Source organism: Homo sapiens, chromosome 1 (assembly GCF_000001405.40).
Source record: "Homo sapiens chromosome 1, GRCh38.p14 Primary Assembly".
Lineage (NCBI taxonomy): Eukaryota > Metazoa > Chordata > Mammalia > Primates > Hominidae > Homo > Homo sapiens.
Genome location: NC_000001.11, coordinates 6,330,586 through 6,358,420, shown reverse-complemented (window position 1 = coordinate 6,358,420; position 27,835 = coordinate 6,330,586). Strand labels below are relative to the sequence as shown.

General features: G+C 56.1%; 1 protein-coding gene across 5 annotated transcripts in view, besides 6 other annotated features; it reads left to right on the top strand.

Annotated features, from left to right (window-relative positions):
* Positions 1-27,835, top strand: part of ACOT7 (acyl-CoA thioesterase 7) — a 129,496-nt gene that overhangs the window by 35,347 nt on the left and 66,314 nt on the right. For all 5 annotated transcript variants that reach the window (NM_007274.4, NM_181864.3, XM_047443399.1 and 2 more), the window contains exons 2-4: positions 8,555-8,672; positions 18,832-18,988; positions 24,853-24,944. In NM_007274.4, the coding sequence (NP_009205.3) occupies positions 8,555-8,672; positions 18,832-18,988; positions 24,853-24,944 (367 nt within the window). The remainder of the gene's footprint in view (positions 1-8,554; positions 8,673-18,831; positions 18,989-24,852; positions 24,945-27,835) is intronic.
* Positions 354-1,321: an enhancer, noted in NCBI's record as "H3K4me1 hESC enhancer chr1:6417160-6418127 (GRCh37/hg19 assembly coordinates)". NCBI's record gives its function as "activates a minimal SCP1, AML or CMV promoter by ChIP-STARR-seq in primed H9 embryonic stem cells {active_cell/tissue: H9 hESC(primed)}" and the evidence as "EXISTENCE:reporter gene assay evidence [ECO:0000049][PMID:30033119]".
* Positions 14,638-14,932: a silencer, noted in NCBI's record as "tiled region #5603; K562 Repressive DNase matched - State 12:CtcfO". NCBI's record gives its function as "represses a minimal TATA promoter and a strong SV40 promoter by Sharpr-MPRA in K562 cells {active_cell/tissue: K562}" and the evidence as "EXISTENCE:reporter gene assay evidence [ECO:0000049][PMID:27701403]".
* Positions 17,855-18,515: an enhancer, noted in NCBI's record as "H3K4me1 hESC enhancer chr1:6399966-6400626 (GRCh37/hg19 assembly coordinates)". NCBI's record gives its function as "activates a minimal SCP1, AML or CMV promoter by ChIP-STARR-seq in primed H9 embryonic stem cells {active_cell/tissue: H9 hESC(primed)}" and the evidence as "EXISTENCE:reporter gene assay evidence [ECO:0000049][PMID:30033119]".
* Positions 19,178-19,838: an enhancer, noted in NCBI's record as "H3K4me1 hESC enhancer chr1:6398643-6399303 (GRCh37/hg19 assembly coordinates)". NCBI's record gives its function as "activates a minimal SCP1, AML or CMV promoter by ChIP-STARR-seq in primed H9 embryonic stem cells {active_cell/tissue: H9 hESC(primed)}" and the evidence as "EXISTENCE:reporter gene assay evidence [ECO:0000049][PMID:30033119]".
* Positions 19,839-20,501: an enhancer, noted in NCBI's record as "H3K4me1 hESC enhancer chr1:6397980-6398642 (GRCh37/hg19 assembly coordinates)". NCBI's record gives its function as "activates a minimal SCP1, AML or CMV promoter by ChIP-STARR-seq in naive and primed H9 embryonic stem cells {active_cell/tissue: H9 hESC(naive and primed)}" and the evidence as "EXISTENCE:reporter gene assay evidence [ECO:0000049][PMID:30033119]".
* Positions 21,589-22,323: an enhancer, noted in NCBI's record as "H3K27ac-H3K4me1 hESC enhancer chr1:6396158-6396892 (GRCh37/hg19 assembly coordinates)". NCBI's record gives its function as "activates a minimal SCP1, AML or CMV promoter by ChIP-STARR-seq in primed H9 embryonic stem cells {active_cell/tissue: H9 hESC(primed)}" and the evidence as "EXISTENCE:reporter gene assay evidence [ECO:0000049][PMID:30033119]".

The following is a 27,835-nucleotide window of genomic DNA, read 5'->3' as shown; positions in this document are numbered from 1 at the left end:
GGGGTCTGTGGGCTGCACAAGGAGCCTCCTGGGTCAGTCCCCTGCCCCTGGCCAAAATGGAGGCTGGGAGCTCAGGGCCATTGTTGGCCTCTTCCCCCGTCCTGCTTGGGGGCCTGCAAGTGCTGCTGGAACTTTCCTTGGCACAGCCCTTCCTCCCACCCTTCCCTCTTCTGGAGATGCAGTGGCGTGTCTGTGGGTTGAAGGGACTTCGCCGGAACTGCCTTAGGCAGCAAGTCAAAGAGGAGAAGCAGGGGCCAGACTCTGTGACTCACGCCTGTAATCTCAGCACTTTGGGAGGCCGAGGCAGGTGGATCAACTGAGGTCAGGAGTTTGAGACCAGCCTGGCCAACATGGTGAAACCCCCGTCTCTACTAAAAAATACAAAAATTAGCCAGGCATGGTGGCACGCACCTGTAATCCCAGCTACTTGGGAGGCTGAGGTAGGAGAATCACTTGAACCCGGGAGGTGGAGGTTGCAGAGAGCCAAGATCACGCCACTGCATTCCAGCCTGGGTGACAGAGCGAGACTCCCTCTCAAAAAAAAAAAAAAGAGGAGAAGCAGGGCTGCTTGAGCTTCTGTTTGGCAGAGTCCCCCATGGAAAGAGGAGGCATTTATGTGTGCTTGTGCCTGGACTTTGAGGCCCCACACCCATCCACGTGCCTGTTTTGTCCCTCAAGGCTGCCTGGTGTGAGGCCCCCGCCCCCCATGCCATAAGGAGACCCGCTTCTCCTTTCCTTCCGGGAAGGGCAACCCCTGTCCCTTGTCTACTCCTGGCCAAGGCAGCCTCTGCTGAGCTCCTGAAGGAAGCTCCGAGTGTCTGCAGGCCCCAGGTGGTGGCCCCCAGCCATGAGTGGCATCTGCAGCCCTATGACTGGGGACAGTCTGCCCAGACACCTCTGTCCCACCCAGCTTTCCAGCTGAGGTGAGGGTGGAGCACACGCACCTGGTGCTTGACCTCTGGTTTGAGGCCTTTGTCAGAAGGGGGCAGTAATGAGCCGCCTGCCCTGCAGGCCCCGTGTGGGCCTGACCTGCCTATACCCCAGACCCTTACCTGGCTGTGCACCTTCAGGTGGGCACTTTAGCTTCCACCATGGAGTAAAGGAAGCAAGGCTCACCTACCCCTGGTTACCCTGGGTTTCACGTAGTAATGTTTTCATTTTAGCACTGACTTTTTTTTTTTTTGAGGCGGAGTTTCGCTCTTGTTGCCCAGGCTGGAGTGCAATGGCGCGATCTTGGCTCACCACAAACTTCGCTTCTTGGGTTTAAGCGATTCTCCTGCCTCAGCCTCCCAGGTAGCTGGGATTACAGGCATGTGCCACCATGGTTGGCTAATTTTGTATTTTTAGTAGAGACAGGGTTTCTCCATGTTGGTCAGGTTGGTCTCAAACTCCTGACCTCAGGTGATCCACCTGCCTCAGCTCCTAAAGTGCTGGGATTACAGGCGTGAGCCACTGCGTCCAGCCACAAAAGTGTAGTCGTCGTCGTCCTTTTTTTTTTTTTTGAGACACAGTCTCACCCTGTGGCCCAGGCTGGAGTGCAATGGCATGATCTTGGCTCACTGCAACCTCCGCCTCCTGGGTTCAAACAATTCTCCTGCCTCAGCCTCCCAAGTAGCTGGGATTATAGGAGCCTGCCACCACGCCCAGCTATTTTTTTTCTATTTTTAATAGAGACGGGGTTTCACCATGTTGGCCAGCCTGGTCTCAAACTCCTGACCTCATGATCCGCCCGCCTCGGCCTCCCAAAGTGCTGGGATTACAGGTGTGAGCCACTGCGCTTGGCCAGCACTGACATTTTTGTGTCAGAGTCAGAGACACTGGTGACACTCCCAGCTGGTCGTGTGCTGGGCTGTGGAAGGGGCAGGCAGGGTTCAGTGCCCTGCAGGGCTGCTGCCAAGGTCACCGCACAGGGGCCTGTCCAGGGCTGGCCAGGTGTGGGTGGCAGGTGCTGAGCTGGGCTGAGGGTGCTGAGCGGGGCTGAGGGTGCTGAGCTGGGCTGAGGGTGCTGGGCAGGGCTGAGGGTGCTGAGGGTGCTGCCGCTGCTGCCTCGGGGCTCCCCTGTGCCACTCAGTGCTGCTTTCTTTGGGAGCATCAGAGACCTCCGGGCATGGCCACAAACCAGGTGGCAGGTGACAACCGGAAGCAGTTTCCTCAGGCTGGAGACCAGCGGTGGGCAGGGCCATGCTCCCGAAGGTTTGACGGGAGGCTGCTCCCGTCTCTGCCTTCATCTTCACCTGGACCTCCTGTGTCTCATGTCGAGACTTCCCTGTTCCTATAAGGACACCAGTCATTGGGTTAGGGCCCTTCCTAAGGCACGGCGACCTCATCTTGATTGTATCTGGATGCAAAGAACTCTTTTCAAGTAAGGTGACATTCATAGTTTCTGGGGGTTCGTTCTCAAACACATCTTTTGGGGGACACAATTCAACCCAGTACTCAGGCTCCATGTGGCTTAGGTGGGACTCCACCTTGAGAGGACCCCAGGGCACAGGAGGCATGGCCAGCCCTCAAGGTGAGGCCAGGGGGCAGGAGCGGCTCCCCTCCCTGCCAGGCTCCCCTCAATTGTTCCAGGCGCCTCACTCCCGCTGCGGAACAGGCTCGGGCTGTCCTGCGAGGATGTGGGCTGGACCCCAGGGCCGCTGCTGTAGGCGCTCTTGGGATGAGTGCTGGCCGGCCTCTGGTGTGATGAGATCTGAGTTTTGAGCTGTGCCTTGAAGCGTTTTCAAAGAACACTTATTAATTTGAAAGGGTTGAGATGGTTTAAAGGCATCCAAAAGACACAGGCATCTCACCGAGGTCCCTGCCCAGTAGCTAGTTTCTTCCTCTGGGGGCCATGGAGGCCTCTGGTTTGTCACACCTCCTTCCTGGAATGGTCGTCCCTGCGCCCCAGGTGGTCACCTTGCTCCCATGGCTCTGTGCCTTGCTGTTTTTCACCTGACAGCTGGTCTCTGAGAAGGTTCCTCCTCCTCGTGCAAGGCTGAGCAATATTCCAATGTGTGGCTGTTGCTTTTATGTCCTTATGTGGACATCTCGGCGCTGGCCCATGTCCTGCGTTATACACGGCTGTGCAGTGAGTACCCTTGCAGTGCTTCGTTTAACCGTGTGTGGAAACAGCTGTGGGGTAAATTTCTGCGAGTGGAATCCTGGGTCAGGGTGTCCCTGTGCATCTGGGGTTTGGGTGGGTGGTGCCGGGTGCCCTCTGTGAGTGGGTATTCGCTTACACTCCCCTATTTGTGAATGGTTCCCTGTCCTTCACAAAGGGTGGGTCAGGCGTTGCTGGGACAGGTAGAACGGTGGGAAGGGCCAGGCGTGCCTGCTAAGCAGCAGTGCTCTGGCAGGTGCAGGTCGGAGCCCCGCAGGGCAGTGAGAGTTGAGGCGGAAAAGTTCCCAATCCCTGAGAGCTCCAGATGCCTTACTAGGAGATTGAGTCTTTATTCTGTAGATGGGAAAGGCCCTGGAAGGTATGGATAAGGGAGTGACTTGGTCCTGGGGCTGTGCAGTCGGGGCCAGTTAGGATCTCAGCCAAGGCAAGAGGCAAGTGCAGAGGCCATGGGGGGTGAGGGGCAGTGCAGAGGCCATGGGGGGAACAAGAGGCCAGTGTAGAGGCCATGGGAGGGCTAGAGGCCAGTGTAGAGGCCATGGGGGGGCTAGAGGCCAGTGTAGAGGCCATGGGGGGGCTAGAGGCCAGTGTAGAGGCCATGGGGGGGCTAGAGGCCAGTGTAGAGGCCATGGGGGGGCTAGAGGCCAGTGCAGCGGCCACGGGGGGTGAGAGGCCAGTGCAGAGGCCATGGGGAGTGAGAGGCCAGTGCAGAGGCCATGGGAGGTGACCTCCCCAAACAGTGTCTGATTGTGTGGTTCCTGGACTTCAGCCTCCCCAGCCTCCCCTCCTTTCAGGATGGATCCAGACTTTGTCTCAGCCCTGAGGCCCTGCATGACAGCTGCGTCCCTGTCTCAGGACATCGCTTCTTCACCCCCTTTTGGGCCATGCGCCAGCTTTGTGGGGTTGCTTTCTGTTTCTGGAGCTCGCTGGGCACTCCTGGCCTTGGGCCCCGAACATTCCCTCTCCTCGTAGCCTTCTCGGACCTCTGCTCCTGGCTCACCCTTCAGGACTTGGCCAAGGTGTCACTTCCTCTGGGAAGCTTTCCCAGAGATTAGGTGGGGTGGCGCCCTTCTGGGAGTGGCTCCTTGACCCATGTGTGCTCAGCTTCCTCAGAGCCCTTGTCATCAGCTGGATGCCACCTCCAGAGGGGACACCGGCCGGGAGTGGGGTGGCTGAGAGTGGGTTGGCAGCATCTGCGTCCATTAGCCTTGGGCCCCAGCACCTGCCACTCATGCTACAAGGACTGGACAGACATGGTTCTGATCTGGGACAGGAGCAGCTGGAACAGAAAAAGGGTGGGGCTGTGGGCCCGGGTGACATTCCAGACCTGCAGTCAGCCCGGGTCACTGGCTGCCAGGACCCGGCAGGCAGAAGATAGAGCGGGGGATGTTTGGGGCCAGGCCCAGAGAAAGAAGGCAGCCACGTAGGAAAGGCCCCACCCTGGGCAGCTTGCTTTCTTTCCTTGAAGTTTCTGGGGTCAGAGGAGGGGGAAGAAGTGCAGGATTAGCGTGTTGGGGGCTGGGGGAGGAATAACATGTCAGACTCAGCAGTAAACAGTCCTCCAGAACTGGGCCAGGCCTGTGCCGTTGCCCGAGCTGGCCTGTGTCTTTCTTTATTTTTAGATAATTTTTAACCCCAGGAATCCTAGAGATAGACAAATGTATTTCTTTCTTTTCTTTTTTCTTTTGAGACGAAGTCTCACTCTGTCACCCAGGCTGGAGTGCAGTGGCATGATCTCAGCCCACTGCAACCTCTGCCTTTCAGGTTCGAGCAATTCTCCTGCCTCAGCCTCCTGACTAGCTAGGATTGCAGGTGTGTACCACCACGCCCCGCTAATTTTTGTATTTTTAGTAGAGATGGGGTTTTGCCATTTTGGCCAGGCAAGTCCTGAATTCCTGACCTCAAGTGATCCGCCCCCGCCTCGGCCTCTGTAAGTGCTGGGATTACAGGTGTGAGCCACCGCGCCCAGCAGCCAAATATATTTCAATTTTTTTTTTCTTTTGAGACAGCATCTCACTCTGTTGCCCAGGCTTGAGTGCAGTGGTGCAATTGTGGCTCACTGCAACGTACTCTTCCCAGGCTCAAGTGATCCTCCTACCTCAGCCTCCCTAGTAGCCACTGCGCCCAGCCTGTATTTCAGTTTTTTAATAGTAAAGAGGGGCCGGGTGCGGTGGCTCACACCTGTAATCCCAGCACTTTAGGATCACCTGAGGTCAGGAATTTGAGACAGCCTGGGCAACATGGCAAAACCCTGTCTCTAGTAAAAATACAAAATTTAGCCAGGCGTGGTGGTGCATGCTTGTAATCCCACTTACTCGGAAGGCTGAGGCAGGGGAATCGCTTGAACCCAGGAGACGGAGTTTGCAGTGAGCCAAGATCATGCCACTGTACTCCAGCCTGGGTGACAGAATGAGACGCTGTCTCAAAAAACAAACAAAATAGTAAAGAGGAACATGAAGTGCTTTCGGTACCCGTGTCTTTATTAGAAATGGGATCACGAACGAGGTCAGGAGATCAAGACCATCCTGGCTAATACGGTGAAACCCCTTCTCTACTAAAAAATGCAAAAAATTAGCCGGGCGTGGTGGCGGGCGCCTGTAGTGCCAGCTACTCGGGAGGCTGAGGCAGGAGAACCCAGGAGGCGGAGCTTGCGGTGAGCCAAGATCGTGCCACTGCACTCCAGCCTGGGAGACAGAGCGAGACGCCGTCTCAAAAAAAAAAAAAAAGAAATGGGAAAACGAAGTCTCCAGTGAGACGCAGCAGCTTCCCTGGCTCCCTGGCTCTCACCCCTGCCTGCCTTTAGACAGAGGCAGTCATGACCCTGTCCTGGGATGGACACGGTTGGCCTTGGCCAGGCCATGGGGCGGGGCCTGAGAGAGTGACAGAGCTGTTTATGGGTCCTGGAGGCTGGCTGGATCCAGCGGTTCCTGAGCTGTTTGGAAGGAATGAGGGAGGTGGGGAGGGGAAGAGGGAGGGGCCAGGTGTGGAGCAGCTGGTGGTGGTATGCAGGATGGGAAGGAATCCCAGCTGAGGCTGGGACTCACTGGCTGCCCTGGCTTGGAGGGAAGGTGTCTGATTTGGGGAAAGGGAGAAGGGGTAAGTGAGTTGGGCTTTGAGCCTTGTGCATTGGAGGTGACAGCACAGTCCCCAGGCAGGAGTCAGGTCCTGTAGGGGAGAGGGTTGTGTCTGACCTTGAGGGCAGGGGCTGGCTTCCTGGGTGGTCAGTTGGGGAGTTAGGATGGTCCTTGGTGCAGGACCCAAGGTGCCGAAGAAAGGCGGCCAGGCCCGTGGTAGCCAGCTGGCGTGCGGTCTGCAGTTCCTGGCATGTACTCCTGATGGCACAGCGCCAAGTGCCGAGTCCTCACTTTGTTGCCAGGTGGCTCCAGGCTCTTCCTCGGGGCCTCAGGCACTGTCCCTGGTCTTCTGTCTTAAAGGCTACCCACATATCTGTCCTGTCTTCAGTGCCCACCGCATGAAAGCACTTCCTCCGCTGCTCTGCAGCCCTTGGCCCGCGTCTTCTCTCCCTGGCCTTGTGTCATTCCTGGGGGCCAGCCTGCTGTGTGTGGCTCCACTTCACAGACAGGCAAAGTGAGGCCTGCAGCAGTCATTCAGGCTGCTCTGGAGGCTGGCTCTGCTGCTCCTGGGAAATGCTGGGCTGATGTTTCCTCACTGCTCTAGAACCAGGAGCTGGGCCCTGCTCTCCGCACCCACCCACAGCCTTGGCTAGTGCCCCCAGGACAGGCCTGTGTGGAAAGTGACCCTCTGCCCGCTGCAGCTGGTGCGGGGAAGGCCCTTCCTACTAAGTGGAAAACAAAGGGAAGAGGCTGATAGAATCATTTTGTGACTTATAATTGGCTACCTCATAACTCAGACAAAAAAAGCCCAAAAACCTTTCATAGAGTAAGTTCAATTTTTAAAAACAAAGGTATTTTAAAATGAACACTTGAGAAGCCAAATGAGGTTTCTTGTGTGCTCTGGGGATCCCCCGGCCACTGTGTCACGCCGTGCCGGCCGCTCCACAGGCAACTGTCCCTGAGCCTCCCACGGAACCTTGGGCCCTGCCTGACCTCAGAGCCAGAAGCCAGTTGGCCTAAGTGGGCCCTGGTTTGCATAATAGACTCTCACCCAGGGTGGAGGGGTGACACTGGGGATGGGCAGCTATGGGTTGCTGGGGGACATCTGTGGTCATTTGCTCTAGAAGTGGCATCCTGTGGCCAGATGGTGGGTTTCTTGGAGCTTCCAACCAAGTTGGCTAAATACTTACCAAAAAGGGAAAAATTCTCCTAGTTAACGTGTGGACTATCTACTGTGTACCATGTGTCTGCCAGCGCTGTTGTGGAGTGAGTGTGCGATCTGCGTGATCTCCCAGTTAGGCGAGGCAGTGTTGTCATTCTACCCATTGTACAGATGAGCACATGGAGGATTGAGGGTTCTGACAGCTTGCCCAGGTTACCTAGCAAGTAAGAGCCAGAGCCAGGAACGCTCTTGGAGAGTGACTTGCTCAGCCTTGGAGCTGCTAGAGAAGCAGAGAGGAGATGCAGACCTGGGGAGACGCTGCTCCTGGGGCCCCCACACTGTCCAGCAAGGCTGGGCAGGCTACACAAGCTGCAGGTGGATGCTGGACCCTGGACCTGTGCCCGCTGCCTGTCACTCGTCTCCAGGCCTCGGCCTGTGAAGGCGGCTTTCATCAGCTGGGTGCTGTCTGGGAAGGTGCCAGGCAACTTGCCCTGGCAGGACTGCCAAGCTGGCTTGTTGGGATTCCAGAGATTTCGTGGAGCTCCCACACTACCGGCTGCTCACGGCAAGGATGAAGTTGTTCCTCTTTGGGGAAGTGAGGTGGCGTTTCCATTCCTTCTGACCTGGGAGGCTCCTTGCCTTCAATCCAGGGCCTGATTCCACACTGCCCCCGGGACCCACAGAGGAGCTTAGCGCGCAGTGGGCAGGCGCTCACCTGCTGACAGGGCCTGGGGTCTTGAAGCTGCGACTCATGTTTAGTTCTCAGAACAGCCGTGGCTACCTGGCTTCTCTGGGACTCCTGACGGGGGTGGTGGTGGTCCCGGGAATTTGCTCCTAGGGTCACAGTCTGTGTGTTGGTCACTGGGAACCCCAAGGGCTGATCACCACCTCCCTGCCCTGTGGCTTTGCTTAAAGGTCTTCACCATCAGCCCTTCCCTGCCAGGGCAGTCCAGGGACATGTGGCTTCAGGGGGAGAAAGTGCCCCTCTGCCCTCCTTCTCTCTCATGGAAACAGCATCTCAGGGCCCCTTCCGTGGCCTAGCAGGTGGCACCCCACCCTGACGAACACACCACCTAGGAAGAGCCCAAACATTGGGAAGGTTCTCTTTCCTCCGGGAGCCATTGAGCCCTTTGGGGACCTTCTCCCCTCCTTGGATTGTCACTGTTGCACAAATGGCATCCTCTCCAGAGGCCTCATCCTGCTTCTCCTCTGCCCTAGGATCATGCGGCCAGATGATGCCAACGTGGCCGGCAATGTCCACGGGGGGACCATCCTGAAGATGATCGAGGAGGCAGGCGCCATCATCAGCACCCGGCATTGCAACAGCCAGAACGGGGTAAGGGTCTGGGCCCCATACCTCTGGGCCCTGGAGGCCGCACCAGTGTGAGTTCAGGACAGGAGTTCCCCGGGGAGCCAGGCCTGCAGCCTTCCCTCCCCTTGTGCACTGGGCCTTGGGAACTGTGGGAGAAGTGGCCCAAGTATTTCTGCACCGGACCCTCAGAGCTATGCTTGGTTTTGGCCTCAGCCAGGAGGTGTAGGAACCCACCAGAGATGAAGCGTCAAGCAAGCTGACAGGCCCTCCCTCCACCACTCCCCGCCATGCCGAGTCCCCCGCCAACCTGGCCCTGATCAGAAGCATGCCCCGCCTCCGTGGGGTGGAGTTTATTGTGATGGCCAACAGCTGAGACATAAGAGGCCAGACAGCAGATGTAGGAGAGGTCCCACCTCTGCCCTGACCAACCCTGGTGGCCATGGCACCATAGCAAGTGCCGTGGCTCTCTGTGACTTGGCCACTTCCTGGCTTTGAAGCTCACAGGCCTGGTACCACTGTGCCCACAATGGGAGCAGCTCTCCACCTGCCCCAAAATTGTGTAGCTCGGGAGGGCCCTGTGACCCTAAAGCTGGGGACAAGGGGCACGGTGTCTAGTGTCAACCTCAGGGCTGCTGTAGGACATTCAGCCATCCCCAGCCCTGGGGAGGGGACATTTTCTCTGAAGGGCGGCTGTTGGGGGGAAGCCAGCCCTTGGGTGCTGAGGACAGGGCGTCTGCCTTGGTGCCGCAGCTGCAGCCTCTGCACTATGGGGCTCGGTCAGCACACCTTCTGTGGCCTCCAGGGAGGCAGAGAAGAGGAAGACTCAGCCCCAGCTTGGAGAGTGGGAGTGTGAGGTGCAGGTCCCCACCATGGGCACGGGCATAATGCCACTCTATCAAGAGGCCAAGTGGAAGCCACGTCAGAGACCAGGGACCAGCGGAGGCACTGTGAGCTCTGAGCCACACTGTTGAGATGCAGGAAGTGGCTGCTGGCTCTGTCAGCCTGGGCTGCCGGAACTAAGACCACAGCCTGCTGGCTTGTGAACAATGGAAATGCATTTCTCACAGTCCTGGAGGCTGGAAGTCCAGGATCAGGGCGCCGGCAGATTTCGTGTCTGTTGAGGGCCCATTTGTTTCCTGGTTCATAGATGTCACATCACTTCCTGTGTGTCCTCGCTTGGTAGGAGTGGCTCTCTCAGGCCCTTTTATAAGGACACTAATCCCATTTGTGAGGGCTCTGTCCCCATTCTCTCATCACCTCCCAAAGACCCTGCCTTCTACTACCATTCCCTTGGGGGTTAGGATTTCAACACAGGGATTTTGGGAGGTGGGGACAGCCATGCAGAGCATGGCACATGCATTCAGCCTGGAACAGTGGGTAGGGTGTGTTTCAGTGGAGGAGTGGAAGCTGTGTGTGTGTGCGTGTGTGTGTGTGTGTATCTGCGTATGCATGTGTGTGTGCATATGTAGAATGAACCAAGCCACAGTAAGTGCGGATGGTTGGACGTGGATGTGGGGGATGTCGTGTGGTACAGGTTCAGGAGTGGGTTTGCTGGCAGTGCCTGGTTTAGGAGGGGCTCGCTGGCTGGGCTGGGGGTAGATTGATTCTTTGGACCCGAGGCTCCGGTGCAGCTCAGTCACGTTCAGAGAGCACCCTCTGGTGGCTGTGGGGAGGGTGGGCCTGAGCCTGAGAGCCTGGGGCAGGGGTGAGGGCCAAGTCCCAAGTTCCTGTTGCACCCTTCCAGAGAGAGACAGTGAGGGTCCCTGGCAGGAGAGCATGGACACAGGGAAGGAAAAGTCCCCAAGATGGGGAGGAAAGATGAAGGAGGGGCTTGGGAGGCCAGAGGGTGATGCTGTCACTCAGAATCGTGGAATTATTTTGCTGCCATTTGGTCAGCACTTGACATTCTGCAAAGCTCCAGAATGCTTCAGGAGCTAAAGTTTAGCTCATGGAATCCTCACAACACCCCGGAGAGGCAGCTGTTCTTGTCTTGTTTTTTTTTTTCTGAGACAGAGTCTCACTCTGTCACCCAGGCTAGAGTACAATGGTGCGATCCCGGCTCACTGCAATGTCTGCCTCCCAGGTTCAAGCGATTCTCCTGCCTCAGCTTCCCGAGCAGCTGGGATTACAGGTGTGTACAACCACACCTGGCTAATTTTTTTGTATTTTTAGTAGAGATGGGGTTTCACCGTGTTGGCCAGGCTGATCTCGAACTCCTGACTTCAAGTGATCTGCCCACGTCGGCCTCACAAAGTGCTGGGATTACAGGCGTGAGCCACTGCGCCCAGCTGCTGTTGTTATTTTTATTATCCCAGTTGCATAGATAAGGAAACTGAGGTACAGAGAGATTGAACACTTGCTTGAGGCCACCTGGGGAGGCAGATGGTAGGTCTGGGCTGTGACTATACCTCGAACCTGTGCTTTGAACACTTGCCCCTCCTTGCTCCTTCTCCGGATCTGGGGCTGCTGGAGGGACAGTTTTGACACATTGGCTTGGAGAAGCCTCTGGGAGGCTGGTCCCCAGGATGGTGATCCAGAAATTCTAGGCTTAGGAGGGGGTCTCTGAGTTCCAGGCAGCCCCAGGGCGTGGGGGTGAGAACAGTCCCAGTGCCTAGAAGGGCTTTGCTGGGGCCCTAGGTGGGGCAGGGGACCCCCGCATCCACACTCCCCTGGTGGTGCCTTCCAGTCTGTGGCTGGAAGTCCCAAGGTTCTGTCTCTGGCTGGGGCCTCTTGGCCAGCCCATCTGGATGCCTACTTGGCCTGCTTGGCCTTGATGTGCAAAAAAACGACACTCCTGTCCTTGCCCCAGGCTTGCTTCTCCCAGCCTCCCTCCCCTCAGTAAATGGTCTCTGCAGCACCCCGGTGCTCAGGCTCAAAGCCTGGAGCCTCTGTCAGCCTCTCTCCCTCCCAAACTCATGAGGCTCTGGGAGCAGATCCCACTGCTCTACCTTCCAGGAAGTCCAGATCTGAGCACAACCCCCAGGCCCACCCCCACTTTGGGTCCAATGGTGCTGCTCTTCCGATCACCCGATCACCTGATCACTGCAGCAGCCTCCTGGCAGGTCACCCTGCTGGTCCCTGCTGCCTGGTTTGTTCTCCAGCAGTAGCCAGGGAGATGTGGAGTCAGGGCACAGTGCTGCCTGCTCAGAGCCCTCCAGATCTCCTGTTTCGCCCAAAGCCAAAGGCACGTCCGCACGAGTCCCTGTCTCTGCCTAGCGCGGCTCGGGGACCTCACCTCCTACATCTCTTTCTCAACTCTCCCTCTGGCCACATTGGCTTTTCTGCTTCTTCTCGGACTTGCTGGGTGCATTCCTGCCTTGGGCCTTTGCACTGGCTTTCCCCAGATATCCACAGGGCCCTGCCCTCTCCTCTTCTAGGCTCTACATAAAAATGTTGGAATCCCAGCACTTTGGGAAGCTAAGATGGACAGGTCACTTGAGCTCAGGAGTTTGAGGCCAGCCTGGGCAACATGATGAAACTTTGTCTCTACAAAAACTACAAAAATTAGCCAGGTGTGGTGGCCTGTGCCTGTAGTCTCAGCTTCTTGGGAGGCTGAGGCAGCAGGATCACCTGAGCCCAGGAAGGTTGAGGCTGCAGTGAGTTGAGATCACATCACTGCTCTCCAGCCTGGATGACAGAGTGAGACCCTGTTTCTACAAAAACAAAACACAGCGTCCGGCCATGCCCCTGATGGCCTGGCTCCCTCTCTGCTTCCAGCTGCTGCTCCACTCCTGACCTGCTGTGCTTGTACAGAGTGGTAGCCCCACGAGGGCAGGCAGGACTTCTGCCCTTGGTTTCTCCAGACTGAGCATAGAGCGTGCTTAGGCATCATCTGATGAATGCTGGGAGCTCGGGCCTGGCACCGTCAACCGTCATGGAGAGCGTCCACCGAGTAAGCGCTTACGATGAGCCCGCGGCCACGCTGGGGCTCACCCTTCCTCTCCCTGTGTAGTCTTCCCAGCCACCTGCTGAGACAGGCACTGTTCTTAACCCTGTTTTACAAGTGGGGAAACTGAGGCCTAGAACAGTTAGGTGGCTTTCCAGACAGCTGCATCCTCAGAGCTGCCGTCAGCCAGAAGACGGCCGGGGCTGGGCATGGTGATGAGACCGCACCCTCTCTGGGCCCTCACTGGATGCCGGGCATGGTCCACGCACTTGACGTTTGTCAATTGCCTTATCCCCGCATGTCAGAGAGAGACAGCTATCCCTGCCTCTCCTGGGCGTTTCCTAAGCACCGAGTTCTTCCCATTCGTTATCCCCTCGAATCTCTGCAGCAGCCTGTTGGGACCATTTATTATCTGTGTTTACAGAGACTGAGACGTGGAGAGGTTGTGTCGCTGCACAAGGTCACAGAGCTAGTAAGCAGTAGAGCTAGGATTTGAACCCAGGGCCCAGAGCTGTTCTTTTAGGCTCTGCCTCTGCAGCTGCTGTCCTGGCTGGAAGCCCTGTGGCCATGAGGAACCCAGTGCCTGTGGTTTGCTGGGATGCCTGTGCCTCACGGGCCGTGTGATACCAGTTGCTTTTGAGAGCGTGGCAGAGGGCACTTCCGGGCAGGTGCTGATCAGGAGCTCGTGTCTCTGTCCCAGGGCAGGGTGGGGCTTTTCCTGCTCCTGCAGTCCTGGAAGCAGGAGGTGTGGGGCTCATCCGAGGCACTGGCTGCTGGGAGATCTTCCCATGGAACGCAAATACTTGTCAGTCCATGTATTGAAGTTTTGGATCACACTGGCCTTCAGGGACTCCCTGGGCCTGGTCCAGAGCCCTGCCCGCTCCTGGGAAGCAGCCGCCCACCAGCAAATCAGAGCCGTCCTGGGTCCCGGCTCCTGCCATCTGTACCCATCAGACACACAGAGCCACCTCTGCAGCCTCCCAGGCTGCCAGATAGTAAAACAAAATCCTCCCACAGGGTCTCCTGATAGTGAAATGGGACCGTGGCAAGACTCCTGTGTGGATGCCTGGGAGACATTACTTTTCTTCTTCTTTTCTTTTTTTTTTTTTTTTTTTTTTTTTTTGAGACAGAGTCTTGCTCTGTCGCCCAGGCTGGGGTGCAATGGTGCGGTCTCAGCTCACTGCAACCTCTGCCTCCTGGGTTCAAGTGATTCTCCTGCCTCAGCCTCCCGAGTAGCTGTGACTACAGGCATGTGCCACCACACCCGGCTAGTTTTTGTATTTTTAGTAGAGACAGGGTTTCACTCTGTTGGCCACGCTGGCCTCGAACTCCTGACCTTGTGATCCACCTGCCTCGGCCTCCTAAAGTGCTGGGATTACAGGCGTGAGCCACTGCGCCCGGCCCTACTTTTTTCTTTAGTATGTTAAGCTGGGAGAGAACCAAGCTCAAGGGTCATCAGTGGCCTTCTGCCCTATGAAGGACAGGCTTGAAGCCATCACCAGGTGTCCCCGTGGCACTGTGGGGAAGGCTACTGGATGGTTCTGTGTGAGGGGTGTCCCGAGGGACAGCACAGAGAGGTGCGCTCTGCCTTCCTCCTGCCTCAAGTCACTCTTTGAGTGAACCTGCTTTTGTGCCTCCTCTGAGCGACCCTTGGACCTGCCCCTCACATCCTGGCCTGCAAGGCCTGGCAGCCTGCCTCTTTGGACCTTTGTCCATGTCTCCCACTGCGTCCCTGTGTTCTGGTGGCTCCCCACCACCTCCCCACTCCTGCTGCTCTTTCCTCTCCCTGTGGTACCAACGCTCCCCCTACCTCCTCCTGCCTAACACCTGGTCTTTTAGGCCTCAGCTCAGATGCCTCTCATCTGAAGTCACACCCTGCCTTAACATCGTTGGGCTGTCCCCATCGTGGCGTGGCCCCATTTACTTCTCGTCCGTCCCCCCAGCTAGAACCCAGGCTTCTCTGACCCACACCCCTCTGTACACCCAGCACTGAGAGGCCCCACAGATGCTGCCAGAAACCAGCTGCAGAGCAGGGAGGTGGAAGGCCTCTGCCCCGGAAAAGCATGCGCCCATAGGTCTGTTTGATCTGTGTCAGCATAGCATACCGTAATGTACTTAATCACCCTCAAACAACACACACTTGGCTTCATTCCACTTTTAGGTCTTGCAGACAGTGCTTGGCTCCTTCCAAGATGGGCATTGCCCTGCCCAGAGGCGGTGCCTAATTCTTGCCTGGCTCTGTGCAGCCCTGCCCTAACAGCCTTTGGCCAATGGGTGGCGCCATAGCCACATACATTGACTTGGGGGTGAAAGAGACAGTTCCAGGCATCGCTTTACTGTGACCTGTTGTGAGTAGGGCAGGGTTTGCTGGGGGACAAGCCCGTGCAAACCAGAATGGGGAAGCATCGGGCCACCCTTGCCAGCTCTAGAACTTTTCTTGCCCAGCCCCAGATGCAGTCACAGAGTCCCTGCGCCTGTGTGCAGGAGAGTCACCTGGGAAAGGGCTCAGACAGAGGCTCCCAGCCTACCTCCAAAGAAGCAGGTGCTGGGTTTGGGGTGGGCCCCGGAGCTTGCATGTTAACCCCACCTCAGTGAGTCCTCATGTAGGTGGGTGAGCTGCATGTCGGTGCTTTGGGGGCGGCAGGCGGTAGGTGGGAGAGCACAGACGCACACACCAGGGCTTGAAGTGACTGCCACATACTCTGTGTGCTCTGGGACGCTTGCCTAATGTGGCACCCCTTGTCGGGGTGCTGTGAAGATCACCTGGGCCAGTGATGTCGGAGCTGGCCCAGGCCCCTCCCTCACCTGCTCCCTGCCCGCCCTGGGAAGCCTGAGGGCTCCTCAGTGTCATGCTGTCAATGTCCTAAGGAAGTGATTGTTGCAGTAGAAAGTCATGGCAGTCCTCTGGGAAATGGAGACTCACATTCCCCATGGCTCAAACACAAGGTCATCTTTTGTGTCATTTATTCAGCAAAGATGAGAAATAAGTCAATTCTGAGTGTTGGTCAGGATGCCGTGAGGTGGCAAAGGCCAGGCCAGTCACTGCTGTTCCGAGAAACACTTAGGACCATATATAAAAGTATTTGTCCTTGGGCCCAGAAAATAATCCCAAATGCAGAAAACGGTTTAAGTGAAAGGGTGCCCATCACAGCATTGTTTGTAATGAGAATCAACTGGGGGTGCCCCACATCTCTAACAGAAGAAGAATGTTCAATTCCACCTGGCTAGCAATTGAAAGTAATTTTCTAAAAAAAAGTTAGGTGTGGTTGCATGTGCCTGTAGTCGCAGCTACTCAGGAGGCTGAGGCTGGAGGATCGCTTGAGCCCAGGAGGAGTTTGAGGCTGCAGTGAGCATGATTGTGCCTGTGAATAGCCATTGCATTCCTGCCTGGGCAACACAGCAAGGTCCTGTCTCTATAAATGATAATAATTTTACATTGGAGTGCTATGAAAAGGAAGTCACTGGAAAGGATAAGGAAGTCTTTCAGACACAGCCACCGTCTGAGTGTTCGTGTCTCTCATGTGTTGAAATTCTCACCCCCAGGGTGATGGTATTAGGGGGTGGGGCCTTTGGGAGGTGACGAGGGTATGGGGGTGGGGCTTCATGAATGAGATCAATGTCTTCATGAAAGGGTCCCGAGGGAGCTCATTTGCCCCGGCCACCACGTGAGGACACACGAGAAGCACTGTCTGTGAACCAGGAAGCCGGCCCTTACCAGGCATGGAATCTGCCCGTCCCTGATCTTGGAATGACCCAAGTCCCTGGAGACTTCCCCCCTCCAGGACTGTGAGAAATAAATTTCTGTTGTGTCTAAGCTGCCCAGGCTATGGCATTTTGTTCTGGCAGCCCAACGAACTAAGACCCAAAGCTACAGAGGATGATCCCCAGGGTAGATGAAGAGAGAAAAGCAGGGTGCAGCACCACCTGTCCATGTCCACCATCTGGGAGCCCCACCATGTGGTTGTAGATGCGGAGTCCGATCTGACACATGGGACCCAGCTGCCAAGGGGTCCTGTGTGACAGGAGACGAGGTGGCCAGAGGTAGACCCAGCACCATAGGCTTTTTTGTTCCTTTTACATTTTGAATCATGAGAATGGGTCGCCTATTTGAAGGATAAATAACATTGAAAAAAATTTTTTTTTTTGAGACGGAGTCTCGCTCTGTCGCCCAGGCTGGAGCGCAGTGGTGCGATCTTGGCTCACTGCAAGCTCCGCCTCCCGGGTTCACGCCATTCTCCTGCCTCAGCCTCCCGAGTAACTGGGACTACAGGCACCCACCACCACACCCGGCTAATTTTTTGTATTTTTAGTAGAGACGGGGTTTCACCATGTTAGCCAGGATGGTCTCGATCTCCTGACCGTGTGATCCACCCGCCTTGGCCTCCCGAAGTGCTGGGATTACAGGCGTGAGCCACCACACCTGGCCACTTTTAAATTTTTAAAAAGAATAGTTGGGCCGGGCACGGTGGCTCACGCCTGTAATCCCAGCACTTTGGGAGGATGAGGCAGGCGGATCATCTGAAGTCAAGAGTTTGAGGCCAACATGGTAAAACCCCGTCTTTACTAAAAATACAGAAATTAGCCAGGCGTGGTGGTGCACATCTGTAATCCCAGCTACTCAGGAGGCTGAGGCAGGAGAATTGCCTGAATCCTGGAGGCGGAGGTTGCAGTGAACCGAGATTGCACCACTGCATTCCAGTCTGGGCAACAGAGTGAGACTCCATCTCAAAAAAAAAAGAATAGTGATTGCAAAGAGCCATGTCACAACACGGGCAGATTATTTTTCCCATACTGAATGAAAAAGAATCAAGGTGAGAGTGTATTTAGTGTTTTGTTGTTGTTGTTGTTTTTGAGATGGAGTCTTGCTCTGTCACCCAGGCTGGAGTGCAGTGGCGCAATCTCAGCTCACTGCAACCTCCCCGTCCCGAGTTCACCTGATTCTCATACCTCAGTCTCCTGAGTAGCTGGGATTACAGATGTGCACCGCCACGCCCGGGTAACTTTTGTATTTTTAGTAGAGATGGAGTTTCACCATGTTGGCCAGGCTGGTCTCGAACTCCTGGCCTCATGTGATCCGCCCACCTCGGCCTCCCAAAGTTCTGGAATTATAGTCATGAGCCACCGCGCCCGGCCTAAAGAAGAATAGTGATTGCAAAGAATGTGTCACAACACAGGCAGATTATTTTTCCTACGTTGAATGAAAAAGAATCAGAAGGTGAGGGTGTATACTTAGTTTTTGCACAGCTATATTAGACTAAAACTGTGAAACGAGCCAGGCAGACGAACAAGTGAGACAACAAAACCCACCCCGATTCTTGGGAAAAAAGCCTGGAAAGACAGATCCCAAAATAGTAACCATGGTTATCTTTGAATGGGAGGAGTGACGTTCCCCTTCTTTCTACTTTTCTGTATTTCCCAAATTTTCCATAATGGGTATGTATGCATTTGTTCACTTTATATTAAGCAAATAATGCATGCCTATTGTGAGAAAATCAGAAGAAAGGAAGAAGCAGCTGGTGATCCCATCACTTGGGGAATCGCCTGCAGCAGTTGCTTTGGGCTGGACTCTGCAGGGCTCCTCTACATCCCTGTGCTTTTGTGTTTAGGAATGCGCGGTGCTAGGCCGGGCGCGGTGGCTCATGCCTGTAATCCCAGCACTTTGGGAGGCCGAGGCGGGCGGATCACGAGGTCAGGAGATTGAGACCATTCTGGCTAACATGGAGAAACCCCGTCTCTACTAAAAATACAAAAAAATTAGCCGGGCATGGTGGCGGGCGCCTGTAGTCCCAGCTACTCGGGAGGCTGAGGCAGGAGAATGGCGTGAATCTGGGAGGCGGCGCTTGCAGTGAGGGGAGATCGCACCACTGCACTCCAGCCTGGGTGACAGAGCGAGACTCCATCTCAAAAACAAAAAACAAAACAAAACAAAAAAACAAAAAATTAGCTGGGCGTGGTGGCTGTAGTCCCAGCTACTCGGAAGGCCCGCTGTAGTCCCAGCGGGCGCCTGTAGTCCTAGCTACTCGGGAGGCTGAGGCAGGAGAATGTCGTGAACCCGGGAGGCTGAGCTTGCAGTGAGCTGAGATCTTGCCACTGCACTCCAGCCTGGGTGACAGAGCGAGACTCCATCTCAAAAAAAAAAAAAAAAAACCGCGGTGCCAATAAATGGTGATACATTGGTTGCTTTCACAGTGGGGAATGAAAGCAAAGGCAAAGACCGTTTCCAGGGGGCATGTCCTGGGTGGGGCTCTCGGGGCTGGGCTGGCTGACCTGGGCTGACAACTGCCTCTGTCTCCACAGGAGCGCTGTGTGGCCGCCCTGGCTCGTGTCGAGCGCACCGACTTCCTGTCTCCCATGTGCATCGGTGAGGTGGCGCATGTCAGCGCGGAGATCACCTACACCTCCAAGCACTCTGTGGAGGTGCAGGTCAACGTGATGTCCGAAAACATCCTCACAGGTACTTCTGGGAGCGACAGTGTTGACTGGAGCAGTAAGGGCCGTGGCTACACAGCTGCTTCCCTCCTGAGGGCAGAGGACGCTCCAGGGCCTGGCCCCTTTTCCACCAATGAGACCTCTCTCACCTCCCACCATGGCCCTGGGAGCAGCTATGTCCATTGCCCTGATTTTGCAGACAGGAAAGGGGCACAGAGGGGTTAGGAAACGAGTTCAGTTACCCAGAGCAGGACTCAACCCTGCTGTCTGGGTCCGGCCTGAGCACATCATGCTGCCTGTCCTGCTGCCCGTGGCCAGCTCATCCATGGCAGGGGCTGGGCGCGGGCTGTGAGGCCGGTACGCACCATCCACCCCTCTGCAGGTCTCCCTGCCCTGCTTGCCCTCCTCAAGCGTAGGGAGGTGTTGGCTCCAGAGAGGACAGTGCTTGCTCCTGGGAGCCCCAGAAACCAGGCTCAGATGGAAGCTCACTGGGTGAACCTTTGCCTCTGCTTTCATCTGAATATTCTCCTCCTTGGCCATGGTAACCATGGAAACCCCCTTCCCCTTCCCACTGGGCGCTGCAGGAGGGGGCGGCTCCAGTGTTCACCAGCTCACGCTTCTTTTTATACCCAGGCTGGGGACGGGAGGTGAGGGGGAAGGCGGGCCTCTTCCCCTGCCCCTGGTCCTCTCCCTGCCACCTCCCAGGTCACCAGTCCTCCCATGCAGAGAGGCTGGGCCGGTTTCCTCCTCTTCCCCATGCCTGTTCCTCAGCAGTGGCTGCCCCGTGGAGTGCCAGCTCACAGCCATTTGAGGGGCTTGAGTCCTCTTCCTCATGACGGGCCGGTAGCAAGCACGATTATGCATCTAGAACATTCTGAGGACCTCAGCAGGGTTGATTAGAATGGCTGTGTCAGCCCAGCTCCGGCAGGTGGGCAGATGGAGCTGAGCAAGGGCCTGGGGTGGAAGGTGGTCTGCGTTCCCATTGCCTGCTGCTCCCTCAGCAGGCACCTCTGACATCAGAGGGACCCTGGATGCTGGTCTCAGGATGTGGCCCAGGAAGGGGTGTATGGGCACCTCCCACAACAGGAGCAGCGCCCACGACTCGGGAGAGGCTCAGGGCTGGGTGGGTTCCCCACTTTAGGGGCCTTGGGGGTTCCCTGCCATCTCCTGTGAGATCGCAGCTCTTCTCCGACTGTGCTGGGGGTGGAGCCTTGGCCCCTTCCTGGAGAGGAGGGATGGCCTGCCGCGCTCTCCTGCTTCCTAGGACCTTCCTGCTTGTGAGGGCCCAGTCAGCAGTGCCCTTTGTCATTGCAGGAGTTGGTGGCTTCAAAAATGCCAGGAAGGGATCTGCTTTGCAGATTTTCTGCCATGAAAGCCCCCTTTGTGGTCCATCAGAGGCCATAGCCTCAGAGGAAGCCCTGAAGAGCAGGTTTCTTTTTTTTTTTTTTTTTTTTTTTGAGATGGTGTCTCACTCTGTTGCCCAGTCTGGAGTGCAGTGGTGTGATCTTGGCTCATCGCAACCTCTGCCTCCCAGGTTCGAGCTATTCTCCTGCCTCCCAGGTTCAAGCTATTCTCCTGCTTCAGCCTCCTGAGTAGCTGGGATTACAGGCATGAGCCACCATACCTGGCTAATTTTTGTATTTTTAGTAAAGACAGGGTTTCGCCATGATGGCCAGGGTGGTCTGAAACTCCTGACCTCAGGTGATCCAGCTGCCTCGGCCTCCCAAAGTGCTGGGATTACAGGCATGAGCCACCGAGCCCAGCCGAGCAGTTTGGGATGATGGGGAGAGAGGCAGGGAGACAGAAAGGCGTTCTCAGGCTTTCAGCATGGCTGGGACCCGCTGTCCCCACAGCAGAGAGTGATGCAGGCCAAAGGTCAGGGGTACTGAGCTTGAGGAACTCCCTAGATCCTGAACTTCCCTTTCCTGGCCGCTTCTGCTGGCCCATAATAGATATGGAACCGATAGTGGATGAGCAAATGAATGAATGAATAAGTGAATGAGCAGAGGCGACCAGGAAGAACTGGGCATCAGTGCTGAGACATGCTGGCTGATGGGGTTTTGATGAGGACGACACAATCTGACATATTCGTGAGGATCCCTCGCTCTTTAGGGGCTGAGAGGGGGAGAGGCTCCTGTGCAGAGCCAAGGCAGGCGTGAGCATGAGAGAGCAGCCCCCACCAGCTCACCCAGAAGGTGCTGGGAGCTTCTCGGCCTCCCAGCTGTGTCCTGGCCACCACAGCCCTCGGCCTTCTCCTCCTCCTCCGAAGGATGGGCTCAGAGAGGGACAGAGATGCCCACCCCTCCTCCCTGGGGACATCAGGGCTGGCATTGCGCTGTCGTGCGCGTGAGGCTTGGAGAAGGCAGGATACGCTTGCCAGCACATGAAGGCTTTTCCCAGTGGGGCTGGGCGGTGCCCCAGGTTCTTCTTCCCAGCTTCAGCCTTTTCCCTGTAGCAGGGGCTGGGCAGGGAGGCCTTGGAGCCCCAAGGCTGTAGCTTTTCTCCATATCTTGGTCAGGCCCCGGAGCCCGCTGTTGTCTCACTCTGTGACTGCGAGTCTCATCTCCCCCTCTGTCTCGCTCATCTCCTCGTCTGTGCTTCTGCTTCTCTGCCATCTCTCTCTGCAGTCTCTATTGTTCTCTTGAGGCCCTTCTCTGTCTCTGCCCATGTGTCCCCTGGAAATTGAACTCGAAGGCCCCAACAGCAAGAACAGTGCCTGGCACACTGTGGGCACACGGGGAGCACTGGCTGAATGGGTGGTGACCTCTGAAAGATAGGGGTATTGCAGGTGGGGGCAGAGGATGCGCGCGGGGACCCTGGCCCGGAGCAGGCTGAGTCATAAGCTGTGTGCGTGACATCTGTGTGCTGTCTCCACCCCAGGAGACAGGGGTCCCCTGTTCTGTGTGTCCCCTTTACCTGGGCTGTGCTGCCTGTCACGAGGCCGCTGAGCGAGCACAGGCCCAGGCAGACGACCCGCAAACCTTGCCTTTGAGGCAGCTCATTTATCTCCAGCAACTGTCAAAATATTAAGCTAACTGGGATGTGATTGCTGTGAATTGCTCCAGAAAAATAGCTGGGAGCTCTTAAGATTTTAAGAGATTTTTTTTTTTTTTTTTTTTTTTTTGAGACCGAGTCTTGCTCTGTCGTGCAGGCTAGAGTGCAGTGGCGCAATCTCGGCTCACTACAACCTCCGCCTCTCAGGTTCAAGTGATTCTCCTGCCTCAGCCTCCCGAGTAGCTGGGATTACAGGCACGTGTCACCATGCCTGGCTAATTTTTTTGTATTTTTAGTAGAGACCTGTTAGCCAGCATGGTCTCGATTCTGAGCTCGTGATCCGCCTGCCTCGGCCTGCCAGAGTGCTGGGATTACAGGCGTAAGCCACCGCAGCTGGCCGAGAGATAATTTTCTAATACTGCCGTTGTCTTTTGATGCTTTCATTAAATGATGGAGAAAATACAATTAGCATGTTTGCCTCATTTGCTCCATGGTGTTCATTTAGGTCCAGAGGGCCACTCGAGTTGTCATGGAAACCGGCTTGTCAGGCTGGCTCTAGCTGAATCCAACAGGAAATCTTTATTCCCAAAAGCAGGTTGTCAGATTCACTCTCAGTCAAAGTGCGGTGGAAATATTTTCCCATATTATTTGCCTGTGGTTCCCAAGCACTGGGAGCCCCACGTTCCCAAGGTGTGTTCTGTGCGGGGAGGAGGGGCAGGCACAGGCCTTTTCTTAATGGGCCCCCTGGGGCTTGATTTGGAGCCTGGGGCTGTGTTTATTGAGGAGGAAAAGCGCTTTGCCTTGGGGAGGCAGGTTCAGGTAACTGGTGGGAAGTGAGCTCCTCTGGGGGTTTTGGGCAGGGCCCTGGGGCTGCTCCTGTCTCCCTTTCCTCCATTACTTCCTGCAGTTTGCTCTTCTGCTTTATAGTGAGGATCTTCCACATTGAAGAAGCCACTTTTATTTATTTTTTTAAGACAGGGCCTCGCTCTGTCGCCCAGGCTGGAGTGCAGTGGTGCAATCTAGGCTCACTGTAATCTCTGCCTTCCGGGCTCAAGCGATCCTCCTATCTCAGCCTTTGGGACCACATGTGTGCACCGCCATGCCCAGCTAATTTTTTTTTTTTTTTTTTTTTTTTTGAGGCAGAGTTTTGCTCTCGTTGCCCAGCCTAGAGTGCAATGGCGCCATCTCGGCTCACCGCAACCTCTGCCTCCTGGGTTCAAGCTGTTCTCCTGCCTCAGCCTCCCGAGTAGCTGGGATTACAGGCACCACCACGCCCGGCTAATTTTTGTATTTTTAGTAGAGACGGGGTTTCTCCATGTTGGTCAGGCTGGCCTCAAACTCCTGACCTCAGGTGATCCGCCTGCCTCGGCCTCCCAAAGTGCTGGGATTACAGGTGTGAGCCACCGTGCCCAGCCAACCCAGCTAATTTTTTGTATTTTTGGTAGAGACGGGGTTTCGCCATGTTACCCAGGCTGGTCTGGAACTCCTGAGCTCAAGTGATCCACCCACCTCAGCCTCCCAGAGTGCTGGGATTACAGGTGTGAGCCACCGTGCCTGACAAAGCCACTTTTTAAAGGCATCCTTGCAGATACTTCTCTGAAATGACTGGGACATGGGAGTATGGCACCAAGTTGCTGTGTGACCCTGGGTAAACCCCTAGACGTCTCTGGGCCTCAGACTCCTTCTGTACAAGTGAGGGGTGTACACCAGGGATCTCTAGGCTCCTTTAGCCCCAGCAGGCCACGAGCCTCTGTTTCTCAGCACGGACAGCCTTCCCTGTCCTGCAGCCCCACTTTGCTCTGTGGGTGGGCTCAGTGCCCCAAGGAGTCAGCAGCCTATAGCCCGTCTCTTGGCACCTGGAAGCTTCTGGTGGAGCTTTGGATGGGCTGGCAGCACACCCGAGTGTCTGGTGTGAAGGAAAGGAAGTTCCTGGGGTGGCAAAAATGGAGCTTGATGAGCTGGCTCCGCTGCTCTGTGCTTTGGGCTGTGGGGGCCCTGGCCGTCCCCCCTGCCCCTCCCCTGGGCTGCTCTGCCTGGGCACAGCCTCCACATCCTCCTGAGCCTCTGCAGCCTGCACGTCTGTATGGGCCAAGTGTCTTTCTGGGCTTCCCCGTTTGGCGGGAGTTCTTGGCAGTGCTTAGACAGGTGGATGGGATCTGCAGAAGACGTTGCGTGTCTGAGCATCAGGACGTCAAGTTCCCCAGCAAGGCACTTTTGATTTTGACGTTCGATGTCAGCAGCGATCAGTTGCTGGAGACTTGAGCCAGCAGGTGAAGCGGGCTCAGCCTCGTGTCCCCGGGCAGAACGAAGGGCGTCTGCCTGCAGCCAATCAGTCCTTCCCCTCTGTCTGGGAGGCTCGTTGGGAGCCTCTGATGTGTTTTCATAATCAAGCTCCCTTTCTGTCAAAACACCAGGAAGAGGAGGTTGCCTGCAGTTGGTGCCCTCCAGGGTGATCCCTGTTGGGTGTTGTGGCTGACCAGCTCCGGACCATCCAGGCTTAAACCACGTGGTCTGAAGTCTTCTCAGCAGCCCCTGGAAAGGGAGAACTGCCCCAGAGTGGGTGCGTTGGGAGGGGCTGGGGTCCTGAGCTCAAGCCAGTTTTGGGGGGGCATGCCTTGTGATGGGGGTGGGCCCCACGCAGCCTCTCTCCATGGGCTCTGGGGTCTCTTGTTCTGTTTGTCCACACTCACATGATGGCAGCACTCCCCAGCCAGGATGCTGAAAAGGCCTTGGGGGCTTGGGGGCTTGGGGGTTGGGGGCCAGAGAGGTGGTGCACACTGTGGTGTGTTTCAGGTACTGGGACCGGGCGCTGGAGCAGCACCTGCCACGTGCCTGGACGCTCACATTCCCACCCCGTCTCCCGGGCGTCACTTAATGTGATTTTCTTCTCTTAAGGTGCCAAAAAGCTGACCAATAAGGCCACCCTGTGGTATGTGCCCCTGTCGCTGAAGAATGTGGACAAGGTCCTCGAGGTGCCTCCTGTTGTGGTAAGGTGCCCTTTCTACTTCTCTCTTGGGGGCAGATGGCAGAGATCAGGTCACCTCACCTGATGTTGGGAGGCTCGTTCAGCTAAGGGTCTCAAGGGAGCAACAGGCCAGAGCTAGGGCACAGGGGGCCAGGTCCGCCAGCAGGCAGTGTCCCCTCTGGGCTGGGCAGGGCATCCCTGGCTCCACAGGAGTTTCTGTCCTGCCTCCGAGGAAACACGGGTGGGGAGGAGACATGTCTGTGTGGGATCTTCTAATGTATGTTTAATTCATGCTGGGAATGTGAGCGCAAGCTGGCCCAGAACCCGTGGACATAAACATCCCTCCAACCTAGGGACCTTTTTGTCACACTCCCTAACCAGAGAAAAGACGGTGACAGGATCGTGATAGTGACATGTCCTTTCGGGAGCCAGGACCACCAGGCTGCGGGGGCCGGGCCAGCTGTTCCCCCGTGGCCCCTGCAAGCTGGTTCTGATCTCTGCTTCTGACGCAGTGGCTGTGGAAACAGTTGTCATATGAGCTTTTGTCTTTCTCCCTTCTTGTCCCCTGCTGGGGTCTGTCTCCTTCTCTGTGTTTCTCTCATTTCTGGCTTCGCTGTGGTTGGAAGCATCTTTCTTTCTTTCTTTCTTTTTGTTTTTTTTGTTTTTTTTTGTTTTTTTGAGACGGAATCTTGCTCTGTTGCCCAGGCTGGAGTGCAGTGGCGCGATCTCGGCTCACTGCAAGCTCCGCCTCCCACGTTCACGCCATTCTCCTGCCTCAGCCTCCTGAGTAGCTGGGACTACAGGCGCCCGCCACCACACCCAGCTAATTATTTTATATATATTTTTTAGTAGAGACGGGATTTCTCCATGTTAGCCAGGATGGTCTTGATCTCCTGACCTCATGATCCACCCACCTCGGCCTCCCAAAGTGCTGGGATTACAGGTGTGAACCACTGCGCCCGGCAGAAGCACCTTTCATAATACCAGTTCATTATGTTGTCAGAGGGGTCCTGCCATGGGCGGGCCTGTGGGCGAAGCCTGTGGAAGCCACACATACAGACTCCTGGAGGGGAGACGTTGGGAATAAAGAAATTTAATTCGTTGCCTAAAAGTACTCCCTCGCCTCCTTCTCCTGTGCCCCAAGTTCATTGGCAAGTCCAAGGACAGATGTGACCAGCTCCTCCCGCAGCCTGACCCTGCGGTCCACAGGCCACAGCCCCCAGGAAGAGCTCTTCTTAGAGGGAAGGAACCAGGATTCTGAGTCTCTGCAGTGTGGGCCCCGGCAGGGAGCTTTTCCTCCGGCTGAGATATATATATAGAATACATTTTTAGAAATAATAAAACTGAGAACCAGATTGTCAGGAATTGGTGCCTGCTCTTTTTGCTTCCAGACCCAATAGAGACGCTGGGTGCTCTTGCCGCTGCCGGCAGCCTTGGTTCCCTCCCCAGCGTTTGCCGGGTGCAGGCCACTTCCCGCCTGTAGGAGGCCTGGCTCTCCATCTTCCCGTGGCCCCCCGGTCACCAGGGCTGATGGGGCCTCGGTCCCTGCTGCCACTGCCCATGTGAGACTGGGGAGGTGCTCCTTGAGACCTGCTTCCTGCCGTCTCTTCTGTCCCCAGCTCCGTGTCTGACCAGGCACCCTGCCAGGGTCTCCTCAGAGGGCAGTGAAGGTCTGGGTGGGGTGTCTCCCCAGGTGGGTGTGGCTGGCTGCCGGGTCCAGCTGCTGTTTGGCCTAGGTTTTGTTTTTTTTTAATCTTGGTGACAGGGGAGCCCTGTCCATATTTAATGGGAAGGGCAGGCTGGTGGCTGCACCTTTGGTTTTATGAGAGCAGGATGGCAGCATGCCAGAATCTGGCCAGTGGGCGGGGGCTCAGGGTCGGGGTGTGGAGTCCGAGGTCTCATATTCCCACCTGACAGTGTCCCGGGGCTGCTGTGACAAAGTGCCACTGACTGGGTAGCTCTCAAACAATAGAAGTTGATTCTGTCACAGTTCTGGAGGCCAGAAGTGCAAAGGTATGGGCAAGGCCCTGCGCCCTCCATTGGCCCCAGGCGAGGATCCCTCCTGGCGTCTCCAGCGCCGGGTGGCTCCAGGCGTCCCTTGGCTGAGGCTGCGTCACTGAAGCTTCTGCCTCCATCTTCGCACGGCCTGCTTACCGGAGTACGGGTCACTGGGCTCAGGGCCCGTCCCATTCTGCTGTGACCTCATTCTAACTGTTTACAACTACAAAGACCTGGTTTTTGGAGCATTTGCATTTTGAGGTTTCAGGTGGATATACATTTTGAGGGATGCTGTTCAACCCACTGCACCAGCCCTCGGTTCAACAACCTCTCCCGTCTCTTGTTCTTGTGGGGCTGTTCTCTCCCTGCTTCTTGGCTGAGATGGAAGTTGTGGTCATTTTCAGCAGTGCTAACTTGGGGGTGATTGAAGACCTAAGGAGCAGGGGTCAGATGGGGGCTCCTGGCTGTTCTCCGCAGAATTGCAAGCACACCCACCCCACGTTCATTCTTTTCTCTAAGCCCTTGGCGTTCAGTGAGCCACATCACATGTAAATATTGAGACATAGCATTTAACGGATTTAATTTTCAGATGCTACCCAGTTCTGAAATCTCTCCCAGGCCCCATGCCTGGCTTCAGCATCTGATGGTGCATCTCAGGCGGGTGATACCGAGGGGCGGGCCTGGACCTGAACACAGTCACTTTTGCTGCCTTGTCGCTTAGGATCGATGCGCCAAGAGCTGTTGGGTTTTTGGCCAGTGGAGGGGACGGGTAGCTTCTGACTCCCCTGGCTCCCATCCCCTCGCTGCAGGGACAGGGTGCTTTCAGCGTGGCCCCTGTTAGCCTCGCCTCTCCTTGCCCAGTAATTAGCTCCCTCCCTCCCACATCCTGGAGGAGCTCCCAGTTGCTTTTTCATT